Source organism: Homo sapiens, chromosome 6 (genome assembly GCF_000001405.40).
Source record: "Homo sapiens chromosome 6, GRCh38.p14 Primary Assembly".
Lineage (NCBI taxonomy): Eukaryota > Metazoa > Chordata > Mammalia > Primates > Hominidae > Homo > Homo sapiens.
In genome coordinates this window covers 27656522-27677193 of record NC_000006.12, presented here as the reverse complement: position 1 = coordinate 27677193, position 20672 = coordinate 27656522, and the positions used below count along the sequence as shown (strand labels likewise).

The window sequence follows — 20672 nt, the reverse complement described above, 5'->3', positions numbered from 1 at the left end:
CGGGCATTAGAGAAATACTAGTCTGCCGGGCGCGGTGGCTCATGCCTGTAATCCCAGCACTTTGAGAGGCTGAGTTGGGCAGATCACCTGAGGTCAGGAGTTCAAGATCAGCCTGGCCAACATGGCAAAACCTGGTCTCTACTAAAAATACAAAAACAAATTAGCCAGGCTTGGTGGCGCCAATTCCAGCTACTCAGGAGGCTGAGGCAGGAGAATTGCTTGAACCCGAGAGGCAGATGTTGAAATGAACGGAGATCACACCACTGCACTCCAGCCTGGGCAACAGGGTGAGACTCTGCCTCAAAAAAAAAAAAAGAAAAGAAAAGAAATTCTAGTCAGATACATGGTTCTTTTGGTGAAAGCTGTTTGTTTTGGTAGCAAGAACCATCCCACTTCCCTTAGAGTCCTTTCTCTTTCCACACTTCAGACGAATTTGCCTCCTTGCCCTCCTCAAATACACTGTCTTCCTCTAAGTCTCCCTGGAAGACTAGAAAGATCTCTAGGCAGGAAATCTGAATATCTGAGCTTCAGTCTTAGTGTTTATTATGTTGTGTCCTTGGGAAACTCAGTGACCTCTCTGAATTTTATTTTCTAATCTGTGAAATGGGATAATGAAACCTGTATTCTAATGTATTTTCAACAAATATTTATTGAATGTCACCCATATCTCTTCTAGGTATTAGTAATCTGACAGGAAACAAATATCTTGCCCTCATGGAGTTTGCATTCTCATAGGGAAGACAGAGAATATACAAAATAAATAAGTTATATAGTGTGTTTTTAAAATGATCGTAAGTGGGCCAGGCGTCGTGGCTCATGTCTGTAATCCCAGCACTTTGGGAGGCCGAGGCAGGTGGATCACCTGAGATCAGCAGTTCAAGACAAGCCTGGCCAACATGGCAAAACCCCATCTCTATTAAAAATACAAAAAGTAGCAGGGCGTGGTGGCACACTCCTGTAATCCCAGCTACTCGGGAGACTGAGGCAGGATACTTGCTTGAGCCCAGGAGATGGAGGTTGCAGTGAGCCGAGATCATGCCAGTGCATTCCAGCCTGGCAGACAGAGTGAGATTCTGTCAAAAAAAAAAAAAAAAAAAAACTGAGCCCTGAGATATCCTGGTACAAGGATGGAGGAGAGCAGGAGGAACCAGCAAAAGAGAAATTGAAGGAGAAAGACAATGAGTGGTGAAAAAATAGACAAATAGATCAATGACAAACAATAATGACAAATAGATCTAGAGAGACCAGAAATAGACCTGTACAAACATGGTAGTCAAGTAGTCAATCTTTGACAAAGAAGCAAAGGCAACACAATAGAGCAAAGATAGTCTTTTCAACAAATGGAAACAATTGAACAACTGAACTTCCACATGCAAAACAGTGAACCTAGACACAGACACACCCTTCACAAATATTAACTCAAAATGGATCATAGCTCTAAATATAAAATGCAAAACTGTTAAGCTAAAATATAACAGGAGAAAACCTAGATGACCATGGATATGGCAATGACATTTTATTTTATTTTATTACTCAATTAGAAAATGTTAATGAAGGATCAGGCCCAATATTAGCATAAACTACCTCAGTATCAATAAAAGATATTTTTAAAATCAGAAATAATTAAAGTGACACATACCTATTTTGTTTTTTTTATTAACTACATGGGCACCCATGAGAGGATTCTAATGATTCTAATAATCTTAGGATTGTCAGAAGTAACATATGGAAGAAGAAATAAGATAAAAGACCTACAAAAGGCCAGGCACAGTGGCTCACGCCTGCAATCTCAGCACTTTGGGAGGCCAAGGCGGGCGGATCACGAGTTCAGGAGATCGAGACCAACCTGGCTAACATGGTGAAACCCCGTCTCTACTAAAAATACAAAAAATTTGCTGGGCGAGGTGGCACGCGCCTGTAGTCCCAGCTACTCCGGAGGCTGAGGCAGGGGAATTGCTTGAACCCAGGAGGTGGAGGTTGCAGTGAGCTGAGATCTCGCCACTGCACTCCAGCCTGGGCAACAGAGCGAGAGACTCCGTTTCAAAAAAAAAAAAAAAAACCTAAGACAGTTGCTCATAAAGAAAGCAAGAAAGCAACAAAGCTAAGACTCCCACTCAGAGAGTGGGCAGTACTTCCTCTCGCTAGGGGCAGGTCAAAAGGAGGACTCCCACGGGAGCCTAGCTTGGGTCCCAGTTGGCAGAAAAATATAAACAGATGTTCTGTTGGGCGACTCGAATAATTCTTATTTTTATATACAATCTTTCAGAAAAGAACTATAATAATTATGATGTGATACTATTCTAGAGAATAACTAATTGATATTTTTACTTTATTAACCTTTTTTCTTGTGTGCATACAAACATGCACATATACACAGTTTTGGAGGAAAAGACAGTTATAGTTCATAGTTTACTATAAATGCTTATCATCCAACTCAATAGAAATTTTCTACAAATGCGTATCATACAATTCGAGAGAAATCTATGTGCTCCAGAATGTACAAAAGTTATGCAATGTTCCAAAGAGTGTCATTGTCACCTCTGGTTTTTTGTTTTCTTTAAAGACAAGGTTTCACTCTGTCATCCTAGTGCAGTGATGTGATTATGGCTCATTGCAACCTCTGACTCCCAGGCTCAAGCAATCCTTCCACATCAGCCTCCCAAGTAGCTGGGGCTACAGGCGTGTTCCACCACACATGACTAAGCAATCACATTTTAGATAAAACATCAAAGATATGTCCCATGAAAGAAGTAATAAACGTCATTAAAATTTAAAATTCTACTCTGCTAGAGATAATATCAGAAGAGTGAGAAGACACAGATTAAAGAAAATATTTGCAAAAAGCTTATGTAATGAACAACTTATTCAAAATATGCAAAGGACTCTTAAAACTAAACAGCAGGAACACAACCCAATAAAAAAATAGGCTAAAGACCCTAACAGATATTGCTAAAGAAGATATACAGATGGCCAATGAGCATAAGAAAAGATGCTCCACATTATATGTAAACAGACAGATGTATTATTGTTTTAATTGTATTATACCACTCACTACCCACCTATTAGAATGGCCAAAATCTGGAACACTGACCACACCTACACTGGTGAGGTTATGGAGCAACAGAAACTCTCATTCATTGTTGGTGGGAATGAAAAATGGTACAGCTACTTTGGAAGACAGTTTGGTGGTTTCTTACAACACTAGACATACTTTTATTATATGATCCAGCAATCACACCCCTTGGCAACTATGCAAAGGAGCTGAAAACATGTCTACACAAAACCTGCACATAAATGTTTATAGAAGCTTTATTCATAATTGCCAAAAGTTGGAAGTAACCAATATGTCTTTCAGTAGGTAAATGAATAAATATACTACGGTACCTCAGACAATGGAATATTATTCAGCCCTAAAAATAAATGAGTTATTAAAGCATGAAAAGACACGGAGGAATCTTAAATGCTTATTACTAAGTGGAAGACAACCAGGAAAATTGTTACCCTAAAGTCAATTGAAGAAAGTGTTGTAAGAAGGAGAATGTATTAATAGCTGCAGCTATCCCAAGTAAGGTGAGGACTGGGAAATGATTTTAGCCATGTGGAGATAATCGGCGACCTTGTCAAGGCATTATAGGATCACTGACAGTCCTTCAGAGGCTGGTAGGTGGATTAATGTGGTGATAGATGTGCGTGGAAGGTCTCTTCTGATTGTGAAGTAGGAAGTAAAGTCATCAATTGAACACAAGGATGGGAGAGGAGGTGTTGGAGCATTGGCATGAGAGATATGAAATAGTGACTTATTTTTTTTTTTTTTGAGACGGAGTCTCACTGTCTGTCACCCAGGCTGGAGGGCAGTGGCGCCATCTCAGCTCACTGCAACTCCGCCTCCCAGGTTCAAGTTATTCTCCTGCCTCAGCCTCCCGAGTAGCTGGGATTACAGGCGCGAGCCATCACATCTGGCTTTTTTTTTTTTTTTTTTTTAGTAGAGATGGGGTTTCGCCATGTTGGCCAGGCTGGTCTCGAACTCCTAACCTCAGGTGATCTCCCCCCCCGCCTCGGCCTCCAAAGTGCTAGGATTACAGGCTTGGACCACTGCATCCGGCTGAAACAGTGACTTAGAACAAGAGGATTGGGAGTGGACTAATCTAATCGCGTATGGTACAATTTGCCTGGTAGCCTTGAGCACCTACTTGACATTCATTGTCATGAATTTAAAGTGAGGTCTGTCAACTGATTGTTTTTCTTCCGCCATGTTTAGCTGCCCTGGTTGTGGCTTTGCCAAAGGAGTACAAAGTGAGAGAGGCAGGGAAATTGAGAGTGCAGCAAGAACGTGACTCTAACATGTGCTGGGTAAAGAGAGAAGAAAATTCATGAACTGGAGGGAGGAATAGGGAACAGACAACTGAGTCTCCGGGGATTTGTTCCAGCAACAAAAGCAGCCACTAAGCACCAAATAAGTTTCTGATGCATAGAGAGTCAGATAACAAGTAAAGATTAAGACACTATTATGTTTCCCAGGAACTTCTTATTGAAAGAGAGAGACAAATATATAAAAAGTGACAAATACAAACACGGAAGCATTAACCTGCCGTGGGAACATTAAAAAGCGAGAGAGTCAAAGAGCCTAACACGACTTCCTCTGAAACAAAAAGTGTCCTCGGAGCTGTGATGGCCGAGTGGTTAAGGTGTTGGACTCGAAATCCAATGGGGGTTCCCCGCGCAGGTTCAAATCCTGCTCACAGCGTCGCCATTTTCTGGTTAGATTTCCAATTTGCTACTTTCATCAGTTAGCTTTCATTAGTTCACTAGGATAGAAAGTTGTGAGTGCTATCGCTGTGGCTTTTACAGCGCGCGCACACTTGTGGAAATGTACATCAAGAAATATGTACATTTGAAGGCCGGGCGCGGTGGCTCACTTCTGCAATCCCCGCACTTGGGGAGGCCGAAACGGGCGGATCATTTGAGGTCAGGGGTTGGAGACCAGCCTGACCAACACGGTGAAACCCCGTCTCTACTAAAAATGCAGAAAAATTAGCCGGGCTTACTGGCGCACGCCTGTAGTCCCAGCTACTTGGGAGCCTGAGGCAGAAGAATCGCTTGAACCTGGGAGGCGAAGGTTGCAGTGAGCCGAGATCGCGCCACTGCACTCCAGCCTGGGAGACAGAGTGAGACTGTCTCAAAGAAAAAGAAGATACTAGTTGTCTTACATCTAATCATAATGGCAAATACAAGACAGGTGCAACGTTGAAAATATTAGGAATACAATTTCCCTTTTAGATTACTAGTATGACAGCTTTCTTAAAGCATTCTCAGGCAGCAATCTTTACTTTGTATTTGTCCTGATCTCACAGCTGGTGGGAGCCAAAAAAATTAGGATGATAACAATCCGTCATATGCATTAGTTGCTCTTCAAAGCGTTTTGTATAAACGAGGAAACAGAGGCACAAAGAGGATATATTTTGGCTTCTGACCACCTTCTTAAACCCATACGAAACTTCGTCTCCTTATAAGCACTTCTTCATTTTCCACTATTTTGCTTACTTTGAACAGCTATGCAAGTAAAGTTCCTTTTTCTAAGTTTCTATGTCAAATGTGATTCTGAAAAATGTGTACTTTCCCGAATTCTTGACTCCTCGTTAAATTTGAGTGTCTTCATCTGCTACTTTGAGTTGTAATACCATTTTACAATAAACTTCTCCCTAGTGAGTGGGTACTTGTTTTTTCCTTTTGGACGAGAAGAGGGAAAAACTATGATTAATACTTCCAGAAATGTATTACAAAGCACTTTACTTTTGGCAATATCTAAATTTAAAATAATACATATTGCTCATTACTGATCCACATACATCATTAGTGCCCAATGTAAGTATATTAAAAATGAAATTCAGGCCAGACACGGTGGCTCACGCCTGTAATCCCAGCACTTCGGGAGGCCGAGGCGGGCGAGTCACCTGAAGTAGGAAGTTCGAGATCAGCCTGACCAACACGGAGAAACCCCGTCTTTACTAAAAATACAAAATTAGCCGTGCATGGAGGCACATGCCTGTAATCCCAGCTACTTGGGAGGCTGAGGCATGAGAATCACTTGAACCCAGGAGGCGGTGGTTGCAGTGAGCCGAGATCGCGCCGCTGCACTCCAGCCTGGGCAACAAGAGCGAAACTCCGACTCAAAAAAAAAAAAAAAAAAAAAAAAAATCAAATTCAGGTAAAAGCAGCTGATTGGCCTGAAAAATAAGTAACAAAAAGCTAAAAAGTAGGCACACACATGAAAGAGAAGATAGAAACACCAATATTGCTTTGAAGGAAAGACATTCATCTTAGCTCATATATAATGTTTCAAAGATGAAAAATGGTCATTATTTTCAATAAAGACACTTTATGTGAATGTCTATTATGCCAACAAACCACAAAAGAAAACATGCTTTCCTTGAATCAGTGTGGTTTGGGGTTTTAATCCCTACCTAAATAAAGAAACAATCTTTTTTTTTTCTGGCCCCAATAGTATAATACAATATAATTATGAAAAGAGTAACAGTTAAGACAGCGTTACAGGCAGGGGCCAGTGGCGCAATGGATAACGCGTCTGACTACGGATCAGAAGATTCTAGGTTCGACTCCTGGCTGGCTCGCTTGTGCTCTCACTTTTTCCTTCTTCAAAGCCGTATTAACAATCCTGTGAATGTCCTTTTCCAGAGTGGTGCTGTTACTTGAACGTGAAAGAGACAAGCGTCGAAAGAGCCAACTTACAGGATTTTGTTTCTACCTTTCATCTCATTCTCAACTGGAGAAAGGAGAAAGGAGAAAAAGACCATTAGAAAGCTTAAAAATCAAAGAAGCTTTAAAAAAATGTTTTTTCACGTATATCTTCTTCATCGGTATTTTTTTCCATTGGGAGAAGTCCACATTCCTGGCGTCTCTGAGGCACAGCTCTTTCCCTGGGCATGACTGTTGTCAAAAAGAAAGGGGACATCTGAAGAAACGTTGAATCATAAAGGCAGGGCTGTGGGGATGCAGGATGCAAGCTGCTCCTTGCATCAGCTGGGCCCCCTACACAGAGCTCAACCCTGAAGTCGGTGGACCCACCTCAGCCTCAACATCGCCCCAATCCACCACTCCCGCCACGGGCCTCTTCTCTGCCTCCCAGGTTCCCACCACTTTTCCTCCGCCCTGAGATCCTAGAGAAATAGAAGACAGGAGAATCGGCAGGGACAGAGATAGACAGACAGACAGACAGACAGATAGACAGATATCCCAGAAGAAGATGAGTGTGGAAGGTGGCAGCTTTGGGGCGGTGTCTGAACAGAAGGACCTCCTTTCTCAGCGACCAGGAAGATGGTGGAGGAGAGAGAGGCTGGGAGGCAACCACAGTCAAGCGGGGGAAAATTCCTCAAACTAAACCAAAAGAGCATCTTAATATGTGGCTCGGTTTCCGAACGTGTAGCTTGGATCTTCGCTCTGCATCTCAGGTGAGTTTACTTTAGTCACTTACCAGTATGCGCTGTCAGGGGCACTGCGGGTAAACGAATGAAACCACAAACCTGGTAGTCCAAATGTGTTGGGCTGTGGCCAAGTTGAACGGAGAACTGGCGATTCTTAAAACACCGCATTCACTTATATACTCTTTAAGCTAAAGGGGAGAAATTTTCCGTGAAAGCCAGTGGCAGCCTCACGTGGTGTGGGCATTTATTTGCCTTGGAAACTGCCTGGGATCAGAAAAAAAGAATGAAGCACAGCCATTGCGAGGAACAAAACCTCGTATCTTGCTGCTATTAGTATCACACTCTCACCAAGTCACTGGCCACGCTGAGCCTGCTTTCCTTTCCCTATCGAAACTCGTTTAAAGCGTCAAAATAATATTGTCTCCCTTTCAATATTGAGAATGAAAAAAATAGAAAAAAGTATATATTGCTTCCTAACGTTTCACTAAAAACTAAACAGGCAAATGTCATATCTCTTCTTAATTCCCCATTCCCTAAAACACACCCACCTAGCTGCCGCACTACTCCAACCCAATTTTCTTCAGTACATTCTTCCTAATGCTTGCATCTTTTTTGTTGTTCTTTGTTTGTTTTGAGACGGAGTTTCGCTCTTGTTGCCCAGGCCCAGGCTGGGGTACTATGGCACGGCCTCAGCTCACCGCAACCTCCGCCTCCCGGGCTCAAGTGATTCTCCTGCCTCAGCCTCCCTAGTAGCTGGGATTACAGGCATGAGCCCAGCTTATTTTGTATTTTTAATAGAGACGGGGTTTCACCATATTGGTCAGGCTGGTCTCCAATTCCCGACCTCAAATGATCACCCCGCCTCGGCCCCCCAAAGTGCTGGGATTACAGATTCGAGCCACCGTGCCCGGCCTGTTCTTTTCATTTTTCACAATAAAGGGAAACGAACGTAAATAGCCTTCTCGCTTGACGAATAAGAGGGCGTCTTAATTTCGGATTCAGAGCACCTGGGATTCGATTCGGAGCACCTGTGATTCGACAGGCTTAAATTAAAAGGCCTCCCTTCAGGTAAGTGAAGGGCCCCACTATGGCATCCAGTGGCCCGTACGGGGATCGAACCCGCGACCTTGGCGTTATTAGCACCACGCTCTAGCCGACTGAGCTAACCGGCCACACGAATGCGCTGCTGTTTTAAAGGAAACCATATATAAATTCGTTGATATTTTTGTTTTTCTAAATAAAACAGAACTTTTTTCTTTCTTACTCCTTTCAAGAGACCTTTGAGACTATATTTACAGACTTTAGCAAGGAAGTCCAAACTATTTTAACTCTGAGCCAGACTAGAAAATTCACGGAGAAATTTTTGACAGAGGATGTGGAAAAAGCGCTGTAATAGGATTTTCAATGGTGAGTGAAGGGAACCTCCTCTTTTTATTTTATTTTTGTTGTTGTTAGACAACAAATTTTTTTTTTTGAACGGCACTGCTCCTTGCGGAGTATGGCTAATTCAAAGGCAGTACGCCCAGAGTCGGCAGCCTTCTCTTTTTAGAGTCATGTCAGTGTACTGGATCGCAAGTTGCAAACTTCCCTTTAGTGACTTGTAACTTAAGGACTTATTATTTTCAGGTTGGTTCAAGACAACGCCGCCGAAAGGAAGGCGAATGGGGTTGAGGGAAAGAGCCGCGCCTTCTCAGTGTCTCTGAAGTCACAAACATAAGCACTGATGTAATCGGCGAAGATATTCAGGGGTGGAAACTGAGGTAGCCCAGCAGTACCGGAATTACATAGTAAATCTGGTATGTTTTTTGAGGGTGGTAGAAAAGGGCTACAGAGGTTTGCAGAAGGGCAAGGTTGTGGTGGCACCCCGCTAGGTATTAAGTCTCATTTAACAGCACTTGCTGTGTGTCACTCAAATTCTAACTTGGGAACCGAAGGATTTCAGCCCGAGTTGGAGAGGCCAGAATAAGTGAGATACGCTCTTTCATCCTTGGTCAGGCTACTGGTTTCATCACCTGGAGACAAGTTGAAAGAAACCTCCTGCAGCGTCAGGAACTATCTCTCTACATGTGCCTGGGGTTTCCTTCGTGTTTTTGGAACTTTCAAGATCACTGACGCCTAATAAACTTTTAACGAATATATTAGCAGTTAAATGAATCAGCAAGTAACGATTTTGTTGATTCTAAAACTGACGCTGGCGCGAGGAAGTGTTGGAATTCCAGTGTTACTCTTAATGTATTCAACGGTTAAAGACCGAAGTACCACCAGGAGCTTCGATGTTTTTCATTCTTCTAGTCCTCAAGAGGTTTTATCCTAGGTGTCAAGAACTGAGGCTTCTACTTGCTCAAAAATCACCTGAAAGTAAACTCTCTGATACAGTTCCTGCAGTAACACATCCTCTTCACCGGTCGCAAGGAATTACATTCTGGCTTTTGAGGATCCCTCTTGCACATTCTGACTGGTGTTTATATACCTCCGAAGTTCACATGTAAAGCCATACCAAGGGAATGAACTTGTCATATATGACATCAACACCGGAAGGATTACCCTTTTTTCTCCTTCAGATAAATGGGAGCTAATCTTCTAACATTCCTGTACTCTGTCCTGAGGCTTGTTGGTAGGCAGAGCTCTTCATGCTGTCCTGACTCTAACAGCACCAGCCTGGGTACTTGCTCTTTCTTTTGTAACGAAAACCAAATACTATTGAAGAAAATCTGCACCTGGGACTAGAGAAATCACATTTTTTGCTAGTAACACCTAAGATTAAAATCTGTTCTTCTACCCCACCCCCACCTTCAATTGTGTTTCCCGGATCCAAAAACCGTATTATTCTTTACTTTGCTTCAAATGAAATACTATGTGTTAACGTTACCAGCAGTAATTCCAGACAAAAAGAGGAGTTCAATACAAGGTTTTCTGTCCTTCCTTAACCGTAAACATGATATAAAATGAGGATCAAATCTCCGTTAATCCTAGATCCTAACTATCCCCATATCCTCCTCAGAGACTATCGAATTTCTTACTTTCTTATCTTCCCTAAAATAATCTATGCATAATCAAGCATATCATTACTATCTTCACCTGCATTATAGGCAACACAGCGGAACATCTGTCACAAGTGTCTTGTAAGATATATGTATTGTTTTCTTTTTCTTTCTTTTTTTTTTTTTTTTTTTTTTTTGAGACGGAGTCTCTGTCGCCCAGGCTGGAGTGCAGTGGAGCGATCTCGGCTCACTGCAGCCTCCGCCTCCTGGGCTCAAGCGATTCTCCTGCCTCAGCCCTCCCCAAGTAGCGGGGATTACAGGCGCCCGCCACCACACCCGTCTATTTTTTGTATTTTTAGTAGAGACGGGGTTTCACCATGTTGTCCAGGCCGCTATCGAACTCCTGACCTCAGGTGATCCGGCCGCCTCAGCCTTCCAAAGTGTTGGGATTACCGGCATGAGCCACCGATCTTGACCATGTAAGATAATTTCAAAATATTTATGTTATATTCCAGATTAGGTTATTTTAATTTTCTAAGACTGCCTCAGGAAAAATACTGAATCAATACTAACAATTTTTTTTTAAAGAAATGTGGATGACCTCACCGTGTTGTCCAGGCTGGCCTTGATTTATAGAACCAAGTGATCCTCTCGCCTGAGCCTCCCAAGTATCTGGGGCCACTGTGCTCCCGCACCTGCCACTGTGCCCAGCTCATTTATTTTACAATGTGAATATATATATGCGCATATATGTGTGTGTGTGTGTGTGTGTGTGTGTGTAATCACATATAGCCTTAGTATTACTAAAATTCAGGTTATTTTTAATATGTCCTCTCTTGCGTCTCTGCACAGTAAAAATGACTAGCTATGCACTGGGACTGTCCCTGCAACTGAAAACAACTAAAATGCTGTACAAAACAAGCAAAGCTTCTAAAAAAATTCAAAGTGCTGATAATAATTTAAGGATTTAACAGACCAAATTCTGAGTGAAAGTAGAAACACAGGGAGTTAAGCATAGAACTGAAAGTGCTTGGCCAGGCGCCGTGACTCACTCCGGTAATCCCAGCACCTTGGGAGGCCGAGGCGGGCAGATCACCTAAGGTCAGGAGTTTGAGACCAGCCTGGCCAACAAGGCGAAACCCCGTCTCTACTAAAAAAATACAAAAATTAGCCTGGTGTGGCGGAGGGCCCCTGTAATCCCAGTTACTCGGGAGGCTGAGGCAGGAGAATCGCTTGAATCCGGGAGGCGGAGTTTGCAGTAAGCCGAGATCAAGCCACCGCACTCCAGCCTGGGCTACTCCAGCCTGGGCGATACTCCGTCTTAAAAAAAAAAAAAGTGCTTATGCCCTGATTCTTATGTGTTTCATAACATCATGACATGTAAGTGTGGCCGGGCATGGTGGCTCACGCCTGTAATCCCAACGCTTTGGGAGGCCGAGGTGAGGGGATCACGAGGTCAGGTGACCGAGACCATCCTAGCCAACATGGTGAAACCCCGTCTCTACTAAAAATACAAAAAAATTGCTTGAACCCAACAGACGGAGGTTGCAGTGAGCCGAGATCACGCCACTGCACTCCAACCTGGGCGACAGAGCGAGACTCCATCTGAAAAACAAACAAGCAAAAAAACATGTAAGTGCACACTGAATGAGGTACTGAATAAGATTGCTTTCTTCCCCTCAACGAATTACTAAAACCTGTGGAGGAGCTCATGTTTATGGGCGTGGAACTGCGTTTTGTGAAATGACTTACAAGAGCCCTTTTCATTATAAAGGCAAATGCATGTATTCCCTTACCATATAAATTAAATGTCAATATGGACTTACATATTGGTAGATGGCTGACATTTGGTGGAGGGCCAGTATTACACAGTTAACGCGGCCAAACATTAATTTAGCAGAGTCGACATGTACAAAAGAGTCCGGAAACAGCTGTCGAAACCCGGAATTGAACCAGAGACCTGCAGAAGATCTTCAGTCTAACACTCTCCCAATTGAGCTATTTCGGCCATCTATAAGGAATGAGTTGGTTTTTTTTTTTATTCTTTTTTTTTTTTTTTTTTTTTTTTTTTTTTTGTCAGTTGCTTTCAAATCGCCCTTCATGAACACCCTCCTAGTTTCCCTTCTGGGTGCTATATTTCAGAGAAAGTAAAACATATGTGGTTCCTTAGGAAATTAATTGGATGGGCATAGGGATTTTGTGATTCAAAACTTCCTGCTGAAATGGGATGCTTCCTAGAATTGAAGACACCACCAGACACCACCATCTGGGATAATTTCTTTTCTTTTTTTTTTCTTTTTTTTTTTTTTTTTGTTTTTCTGAGACAGTTTTGCTCTTGTTGCCCAGGCTGGAGTGCAATGGCGCGATCTTGGCTCACCGCAACCTCCCCCTCCCGGGTTCAAGCGATTCTCCTGCCTCAGCCTCCCAAGTAGCTGAGATTACAGACATGCGGTACCACGCCAAGATTTTTTTTTTTTTTTTTTTTTTTTGTATTTTTAGTACAGATGGGGTTTCTCCATGTTGGTCAGGCTGGTCTCGAACTCCCGACCTCAGGTGATCCGCCCGCCTCGTCTCCCAAAGTGCTGGTATTACAGGCGTGAGCCACCACGCCTGGCCGGAAGTATTGAGTTTTAGGAAAAATGAAGTATTATGCACATATATTTACTTGAGAATATACATTTCTTTTTGGCAAATTCTACCTAATATAAGGCTAAACACACTAATCTAGGAATAGTAATTATTTCTGAGAAAGGGAGTGGCATTGCAGGTGAGGAGATATTTTTGCTGTTTTTCCTGTATTGTGTAGAATATTTATATTCAGAAAATAGCCATTATTTGGATAATTAAAAGAATAATAATTTGGCATATACTATATTAAAATACATGAGATAGTTGAAGTCGACAAACCTTACCTCCTACGTAATGTAAAACTTTATACTATTTAGTTATTGACAAAGCCAAACACAACCTTCCTCTTTTTTTTTTTTTTTTTTTTTTTGGGACGGAGTCTCGCTCTCTCTCCCACTCTCCCAGTCCTGCAGTGCAGTGGCGCGATCTCGGCTCACTGCAAGCTCCGCCTCCAGGGTTCACGCCATTCTCCTGCCTCAGCCTCCCGAGTAGCTGAGACTATAGGCGCCCGCACCACGCCCGGCTAACTTTTTGTATTTTTAGTAGAGACGGGGGTTTCACCGTGTTAGCCAGGATGGTCTCGATCTCCTGACCTCATGATCCATCCGCGTCGGCCTCCCAAAGTGCTGGGATTACAGGCGTGAGCCACCACGCCCGGACACAAACCTTCCCCTTTTGCCTGAACCTGCTGATAGGCAGACCGTTCCCTTTTATTTCCTAGCCAATCCAGTTCTCTGTTTCATGAGTGATTAGCTAAAATTAGAACTGTTTGTCTCTGTGTTGCAGGTCTCCAAGACTCACTCCTAGGTTCAATGATTGGCTAGAAGGGCTCACAGGACTCAGCATATAATCATCCTCACAAGTAATTCCAAATGTAAATAACGTCACCTATAACTTTTGAAGTTATATTTTTACCTCACCTTCCTCCACCTATTTGTACCACACCTTCCCCAACTCCCTGGCAACCACTGATCTTTTTTACTATCTACCTCTCTTTATAAAAGTCTAAGCAAAACCATCCTGCAGAGTACACTCTGATCTTCAGATCCAGAGTGCTCTCCCAGTTGTAATAACCAAAGACAGAAATCAACCTCCTCACTTACCGAGTTTGGTCTTTGTGTTAGTGCTGTGAGTCACAAAGGAGTGAAAGCCTCCCTCAGACATCCATCTTCTTCACTCAGGCACTAAATCCTCTCTAGCTTGTTCTGGTCCTCCCCTGACTGGCAACTTGGGGATTTCACACTGAGGCCAGCTCCTGACCCCTGAGCTACAGGCATCTGTCTGTGGTAGCACAGTAAGGATTTGATTTTGATTCTTTGAGGGCTCCCTTGGTTTGGTTTTGTTGGTGGCTTTTGTTTAACTTGGTATTATGGATAAATCTAAATCCACGCCTCAACCCCTTTCAAAAGCTCTCACGCTTTGCCACTGTGCTAACAATTCAGTTAATTACCTCTCATGCTTTGCCACTGTGCTAATAATTCAGTTAATTACCTCTCATGCTTTGCCACTGTGATAACAATTCAGTTAATTACCTTTAAAAAATGGCAGAATTTAACTATTAGGAGTAGCTCTTCTAATTCCTTGATAATTTAAGATAATTGAAGTCCATGTTTTAAACAGCTAAGGTCATTTACAATTATGTTATCCCCTATCCGCCTATGTTTACCTTTTTTTTTTCTTTCTTTGAGATGGAGTCTTGCTTTGTCCGCCAAGCTGGAGTGCAGTGGCGCCATCTCAGCTCACTGCAGCCTGCGCCTCCCGTGTTCAAGCAATTCTCCTGCCTCAGCCTCCCAGGTAGCTGGGATTACAGGTGCCCACCACCACACCTAGCTAATTTTTGTATTTTTGTAGAGATGGGGTTTCACCATGTTGGCAAGGCTGGTCTCAAACTCCTGACCTCAGGTGATCAGCCTGCCTTGGCCTCCCAAAGTGCTGAGACTACAGGCTTGAGACACTGCACCCGGCCGCCTTTTTTCTTTTCTTTTCTTTTTTTTTTTTTTTTAACTACAGCTGCTAGCAGCTCTAAGAAATTGTGTTTACTTTTATTATTATTATTATTATTATTATTATTATTATTATTCTTTTCCTTTCTTGAGACAGGGTCTCTGTTTCCCAAGCTGAAGTGTAGCTCTCTGCAACCTTGAACTCTTGGGTTCAAGCAATCCTCCCACCTCAACCTCTTGAGTGGCTGGGACTACAGATGTGTAGTCCCACTATGTCTTGCTAATTTTTTAAATTTTTGTAGAGACAGGGTCTCACTACGTTGCCCAGGCTAGTCTGGAACTCCTGGCCTTAAGTGATCCTCCCACCTTGGCCTCCCAAAGTGCTGGCTTTTGAAATTACAGGCTTGAGCCACCATGCCAGGCCATGTTTACCTTTTTAAATAAACTTTATATTTTAGACCATTTTTAGATGTATATAAAAATTGTGCAGAAAATACAGAATTCCCATATAATCCCTTCCCTAACTTCATTTTGAGCTAGTGTGCAAAGTGTTTTTAACATTAACATCTTGCATTAATGTGGTACAGTGGTTACAATGAATGAATCAATATTAATACAATATCGACCAGGCACAGTGGCTCATGCCTGTAATCCCAGCACGTTGGGAGGCCAAGGTGGGCGGAGTTTGAGACCAGCCTGGCCAACATGGAGGAACCCGTCTCTATTGAAAAAACAAAAATTAGCTGGGCGTGGTGGCCGGTGCCTATAATCCCAGCTACTCGGGAGGCTGAGGCAGGAGAATTGCTTGAACCCGGGAGGCAGAGGTTGCAGTGAGCCGAGATCGTGCCACTGTATTCCAGCCTGGGCAACAGAGCAAGACTCCGTCTTGAAAATAAAAGACAAAAAACAAACAAACAAAATATGCACGTAGCTAGGCGCCGTGGCTCACGCCTGTAATCCCAGCACTTGGGGAGGCCGAGGCGGGCGGATCACCTGAGGTCGGGAGTTCGAGACCAACCTGACCAACATGGTGAAACCCCGTCTCTACTAAAAATACAAAAACTAGCTGGGCGCGGTGGTGGGCGCCTGTAATCCCAGCTACTAGGGAGGCTGAGACATGAGAATAGCTTGAACCCGGGAGGTGGAGGTTGCAGTGAGCCGAGATCGTGCCATTGCACTCTAGCCTGGGCAACAGAGACTCTGTCTCAAAAACAACAACAACAACAACAAAATACAAAATAAAAAAAATGCATGTAAAGTTCCTCTATGTCTTTTAATGACTTTATAGCTGATTTCTTTTTGTCATTGAACAATATTTCATTGTATGGATATACCACAGTTTGTTCATCTATTCACCTATTGAAGGACAGCTTGGTTGCTTCCAAGTTTTGAAAATTATGAATAAAGTTGTTATAAACACTCATGTGCAGGTTTTTTGTGGACTTAAGCTCTTTAATTCTTTGGGTAAATATTAAGGAGTGCAATTGCTGAATGTTATGGTAAAAGTATATTTAGCTTTTAAAGAAACTGCCAAATTGTCTTTCAAAGAGATGGTACAATTTTGCATTTCCACCAGCAATGAATGAGAGTTGGTGTCGCTCCACATCCTCATCAGCATTTGGTGTTGTCAGTGTTCTGGATTTCGGCCATTTTAATAGGTATGTTGTGTTATCTCATTTTTTTAAAATTTGAATTTCCCTAAACATATGCTGTGGACCATCTTTTCATATGCATATTAATCATCTGTATATCTTCTTTGGTGAAGTGACTGTTAAGGTCTTTGGCCATTTTTTCATGGGGTTGTTTGTGTTCTTACTGATGAGTTTTAAGAGCTCTTTGTGTATTTTGAATAACAGTACTTTATCCGATAGGTCTTTTGCATGTATTTTCTCTCAGTCTGCAGCTTGTATTTTCATTGTCTTGGTGTTATAGTGTTTTTGATCACTAGCATGTCTTTTTGGTTCTTTCTTAGAATTTCCATCTCTCTGCTTACATTGCCCATGTGTTCTTGTATGCTGTCATCTTATTCTTAGCATCTTAATCAGTTGTTTCAAATTCCTGGTTTGAGAATTCCAACATCCCTGTCATATCCGAGTCTGGTTCTGATGTTTGCTCTCTCTCTTTAAACTGTGTATTTTGTCTTTTTTTATATCTTATGTTTTTCTTGATAGCAGGACATGCTGTGCTGGATAAAATGAGCTGCTATAAGCAGGCCTTTAGTAATGTGGTGGCAAAGTGTGGAGGGAGAAAAGCATTCTGTAGTCCCACAAGTAGGTCTCAGTCTATTAGTGAGCCTGTATCAGTGGACTGTGAGCTTTAAACATGCTTTTTAGGTTTTTCCCCACTTTCGGTGGTACTGGATGGCTAGAGTGGGCTGGAGTTGGTTATTTCCCTTCCCGCAGATCCATCGGGCTCTTGATAAAACCCCAGCAGGTTAGATCGAGATTAAATGGTTTCTTCTGAGGGCAGACCTTGTTAAGAACAGAATGGGCCGGGCGCGGTGGCTCAAGCCTGTAATCCCAGCGCTTTGGGAGGCCGAGGCAGGTGGATCACCTGAGATCAGGAGTTCAAGATCAGCTTGGCCAACATGGCGAAACCCCGTCTCTACTAAAGATACAAAAATCAGCCGGGCGTGGTGGCAGGCGCCTGTGATCCCAGCTGCTCAGGAGGCTGAGGCAGAGAGAACTGCTTAAAACCCAGGAGGCGGAGGTTGCAGTAAGCTGAGATCGCGCCGCTGCACGCCAGTCTGGGCGATAGAGCGAGACTCCGTCCTAAAAAAAAAAAAAAAAAAAAAAAAAAGAACAGAATGATCTGGCCTGTTGCAAACTGGTTCTTGCCCTACCCGCTACCAGAGGAGATTTTTCTCCCTCATTGTGAGAACTTGGTTGAGCTCCTGAGATAAAATTCACAAATTTGTAGCTGGAGGTTTTTCCCTGAGATTTGTCCACAGAAAGCCTCAAGCAGTTTCTTAATTACAGCTCAGGTGTCCCTCCTCTAGCACTGATTCAGGTGGAGGATTTTGCTCTTTGGGTTTCCGGTCTGGTAAGTTGTAGTACTCCGTATTTGCCTTTCTGTCTCTCCAATTTTGGGGGCAGTGGTTTGCCCTGTGACCTCACAGGAAGTATGGAAAACCTTCAGCCATGAGTGTGGATTTTCCTATTTTTAGTTCCATCGTGGTTTTGTTGTTTTCTTTTTTTCTTTCTTTTTTTTTTTTTTTTGAGACGGAGTCTTACTCTGTTGCCCAGGCTGGAGTGCAGTAGCGCGGTCTCGGCTCACTGCTAGCTCCGCCTCCCGGGTTCACGCCATTCTCCTGCCTCAGCCTCCTGAGTAGCTGGGACTACAGGTGCCCGTCACCACGCCCGGCTAATTTTTTGTATTTTTAGTAGAGACGGGGGTTTCACCGTGTTAGCCAGGATGGTCTCAATCTCCTGACCTCATGATCCGCCCGCCTCGGCCTCCCAAAGTGCTGGGATTACAGGCGTGAGCCACCGTGCCCAGCCTGTTTTTCTTTTCACTATTTAGTTCCTGTGAACCATCAGGTCATCTTAACTTTTAATTTTGAAATTATTATAGATTAACAAGGAGTTACAAAGAAAGTAGAGAACTCCCCTGTACCCTTAACCCAGTTTCCTACAATGATTACTTCTTTTTTTTTTTTTTTTTTTTTTTTTGAGACGGAGTCTCGCTCTGTCGCCCAGGAGGGAGTCCAGTGGCGTGATCTCGGCTCACTGCAACCTCCCCTCTTGGGTTCAAGCGATTCTCCTGCCTCAGGCTCCGGAGTAGCTGGGATTACGGGCACCCACCAGCACACCAGGCTAATTTTTGTATTTTAAGTAGAGACAAGGTTTCGCCATGTTGGCCTAGCTAATCTTAAATTCCTGACCTCAGGTGATCCACCCATCTCAGCCTCCCAAAGTGCTGGGATTACATGGGTGAGCCACTCAATGTGCCAGCCCAATGGTTACTTCTTATATAACACAATATCGAACACAGGAATTTAATATTGGTATGACATGTGTGTATGGTTCTAAATCATTTTTATCACATGTGTAGGTTTGTGTACCTAACACTGGAAACAAGACACTAAAACAATTCCAGCACCATAAATATCTCCCTGTTAATGCCACCCCTTAATTAGTCATACCAACTTACCTCTCCTCTTAACAAAAATTCTTTTTTTTTTTTTTGTTTAAGATAGAGTCTCGCTCTGTCACCCAGGCTGGAGTGCAATCTCGGCTCACTGCAACCTCTGCCTCCCGCGTTCAAGTGATTCTCCTGCCTCTGCCTCTGCCTCCCGAGTAGCTGGGATTACAGGTGTCAGTTGCCAGGCCTGGCTACTTTTTCTATTTTTAGTAGAGATGAGGTTTCACCATGTTGGCTAGGCTGGTCTCAAACTCCTGACTTCAAGTGATCCTCTCGCCTCGGCCTCCCACAGTTCTCGGATTACAGACGTAAGCCACTGTGCCCGGCCTTGACAAAAATTCTACCATTCTTTTTTGTTTTGAGAATGTTATAGAAATAGAATCATATAATAGATGACCTTTAAAGATTGGCCTTTTCCACAGCCTAGTTCCCTCAAGATCCGTCCAACTCATGATATCAATAGCTCCTGACTTTTTATTGTTGAGTATTCCATGGTATGGATGGACAACTGTTTATTTAACCATTCACATACTGAAAGACATTTTGATGCTTTCCAGTGTTTTGCTATTACAAATAAAGCTGCTATTAACAATTGTATACAGATTTTTGTGTGGACATAAGTTTTCACATCATTTTTGGTCTATATATTTTGAAACCATGTTATTGGATGCATACACATTTAGAATGTTTATGTTTCTCTTTTATAAAATGTCTCCTATTACTATAAAATGCATACCTTATTGTTATGAAATATCTCTGTGGTAATGCTTCTTGTCTTAAATTCTACATTTTAAAAAATGTTGGCCGGATGTGGTGGCTCACACCTATAATCCCACTTTGGATTATAGGTGTGATCCTATAACTTGGGGAGGTGGAGGCAGGAGGACCACTTGATGTCAGGAATTTGAAACCCAGCTGGCCAACATGGTGAAACCCTGTCTCTACTAAAAATACAAAAATTAGCTGGGCATGGTGGTGCACGCCTGGAATCCCAGCTACTCTGGAGGCTGAGGCAGGAGAATCGCTTGAACCTGGGAGATGGAAGTTGCAGTGAGCTGAGATCATGCCACTAAACTCCAGTATGGGTGACGGTGTGAGACTCCATCTCAAAAAATAAATAAATAAAAATAAACAAACAAATAGTAAAGTTAATATAGCCACACCAGGTAAAAAACTAAACATAGGATTAGCTTTTGTTTTGTATATTTTTAACATTTCTCTTCTAGATCACTTACTTTATATCCTTATGCATATTTTCCCCCATGGCATTTTTTAAATTGTGGTAAAACATGCATAATATAAAATTTGCCATTTTTATCATTTTAAGAGTACATTTTGGTAAAATTAAATAAATTCAGTGTGGTGGAACCATCACCATCATCCATCTCCAGAACTTTTTTAGCATCCCAAACTGAAACTCTATAACCATTAAACAAAAACTCCCCATCTGCTCCCCTTCAGCCCTTGGTACCCATTGTCTATCTCTATAAATTTTGCTTGTGCTTTTATGTATCTAATAGAAGTGGATTATACAATAC

At 42.7% G+C, this 20672-nt stretch overlaps 1 long non-coding RNA gene and 3 other non-coding genes across 4 annotated transcripts, besides 5 other annotated features; 3 read left to right on the top strand and 1 right to left on the bottom strand.

The window, feature by feature from the left end:
- The first annotated feature begins 4662 nt into the window (after positions 1 to 4662).
- Positions 4663 to 4744, top strand: TRS-CGA3-1 (tRNA-Ser (anticodon CGA) 3-1). Its single transcript has one exon. It is a non-coding gene; the product is annotated as a tRNA-Ser (tRNA).
- A 1812-nt stretch (positions 4745 to 6556) lies between these two features.
- TRR-ACG2-4 (tRNA-Arg (anticodon ACG) 2-4) lies at positions 6557 to 6629 on the top strand. Its single transcript has one exon. It is a non-coding gene; the product is annotated as a tRNA-Arg (tRNA).
- Positions 7130 to 7424: a silencer, noted in NCBI's record as "tiled region #12122; HepG2 Repressive non-DNase unmatched - State 4:PromP, and K562 Repressive DNase matched - State 5:Enh". NCBI's record gives its function as "represses a minimal TATA promoter and a strong SV40 promoter by Sharpr-MPRA in HepG2 and K562 cells {active_cell/tissue: HepG2 | K562}" and the evidence as "EXISTENCE:reporter gene assay evidence [ECO:0000049][PMID:27701403]".
- Positions 7247 to 7296: a silencer, noted in NCBI's record as "silent region_17034". NCBI's record gives its function as "represses an Ori minimal core promoter by ATAC-STARR-seq in GM12878 lymphoblastoid cells {active_cell/tissue: GM12878}" and the evidence as "EXISTENCE:reporter gene assay evidence [ECO:0000049][PMID:35858748]".
- Positions 8235 to 8753: a transcriptional cis regulatory region, noted in NCBI's record as "candidate enhancer chr6.1279 targeted for multiplex CRISPR interference". NCBI's record gives its function as "positively regulates ZKSCAN8 gene expression with high confidence in K562 cells {active_cell/tissue: K562}" and the evidence as "EXISTENCE:mutant phenotype evidence [ECO:0000015][PMID:30612741]".
- Positions 8393 to 8675: a silencer, noted in NCBI's record as "fragment chr6:27636298-27636580 (GRCh37/hg19 assembly coordinates)". NCBI's record gives its function as "represses an EF-1alpha promoter that drives an FKBP-Casp9 reporter gene in an ReSE screen in HepG2 liver carcinoma cells {active_cell/tissue: HepG2}" and the evidence as "EXISTENCE:reporter gene assay evidence [ECO:0000049][PMID:32094911]".
- Positions 8457 to 8646: a silencer, noted in NCBI's record as "silent region_17033". NCBI's record gives its function as "represses an Ori minimal core promoter by ATAC-STARR-seq in GM12878 lymphoblastoid cells {active_cell/tissue: GM12878}" and the evidence as "EXISTENCE:reporter gene assay evidence [ECO:0000049][PMID:35858748]".
- On the bottom strand, positions 8538 to 8611 carry TRI-AAT8-1 (tRNA-Ile (anticodon AAT) 8-1). Its single transcript has one exon. It is a non-coding gene; the product is annotated as a tRNA-Ile (tRNA).
- On the top strand, positions 8621 to 10222 carry LOC124901292 (uncharacterized). The gene is made up of 2 exons (XR_007059535.1): positions 8621 to 8846; positions 9066 to 10222. It is a non-coding gene; the product is annotated as an uncharacterized LOC124901292 (long non-coding RNA).
- Positions 10223 to 20672: the final 10450 nt, after the last annotated feature.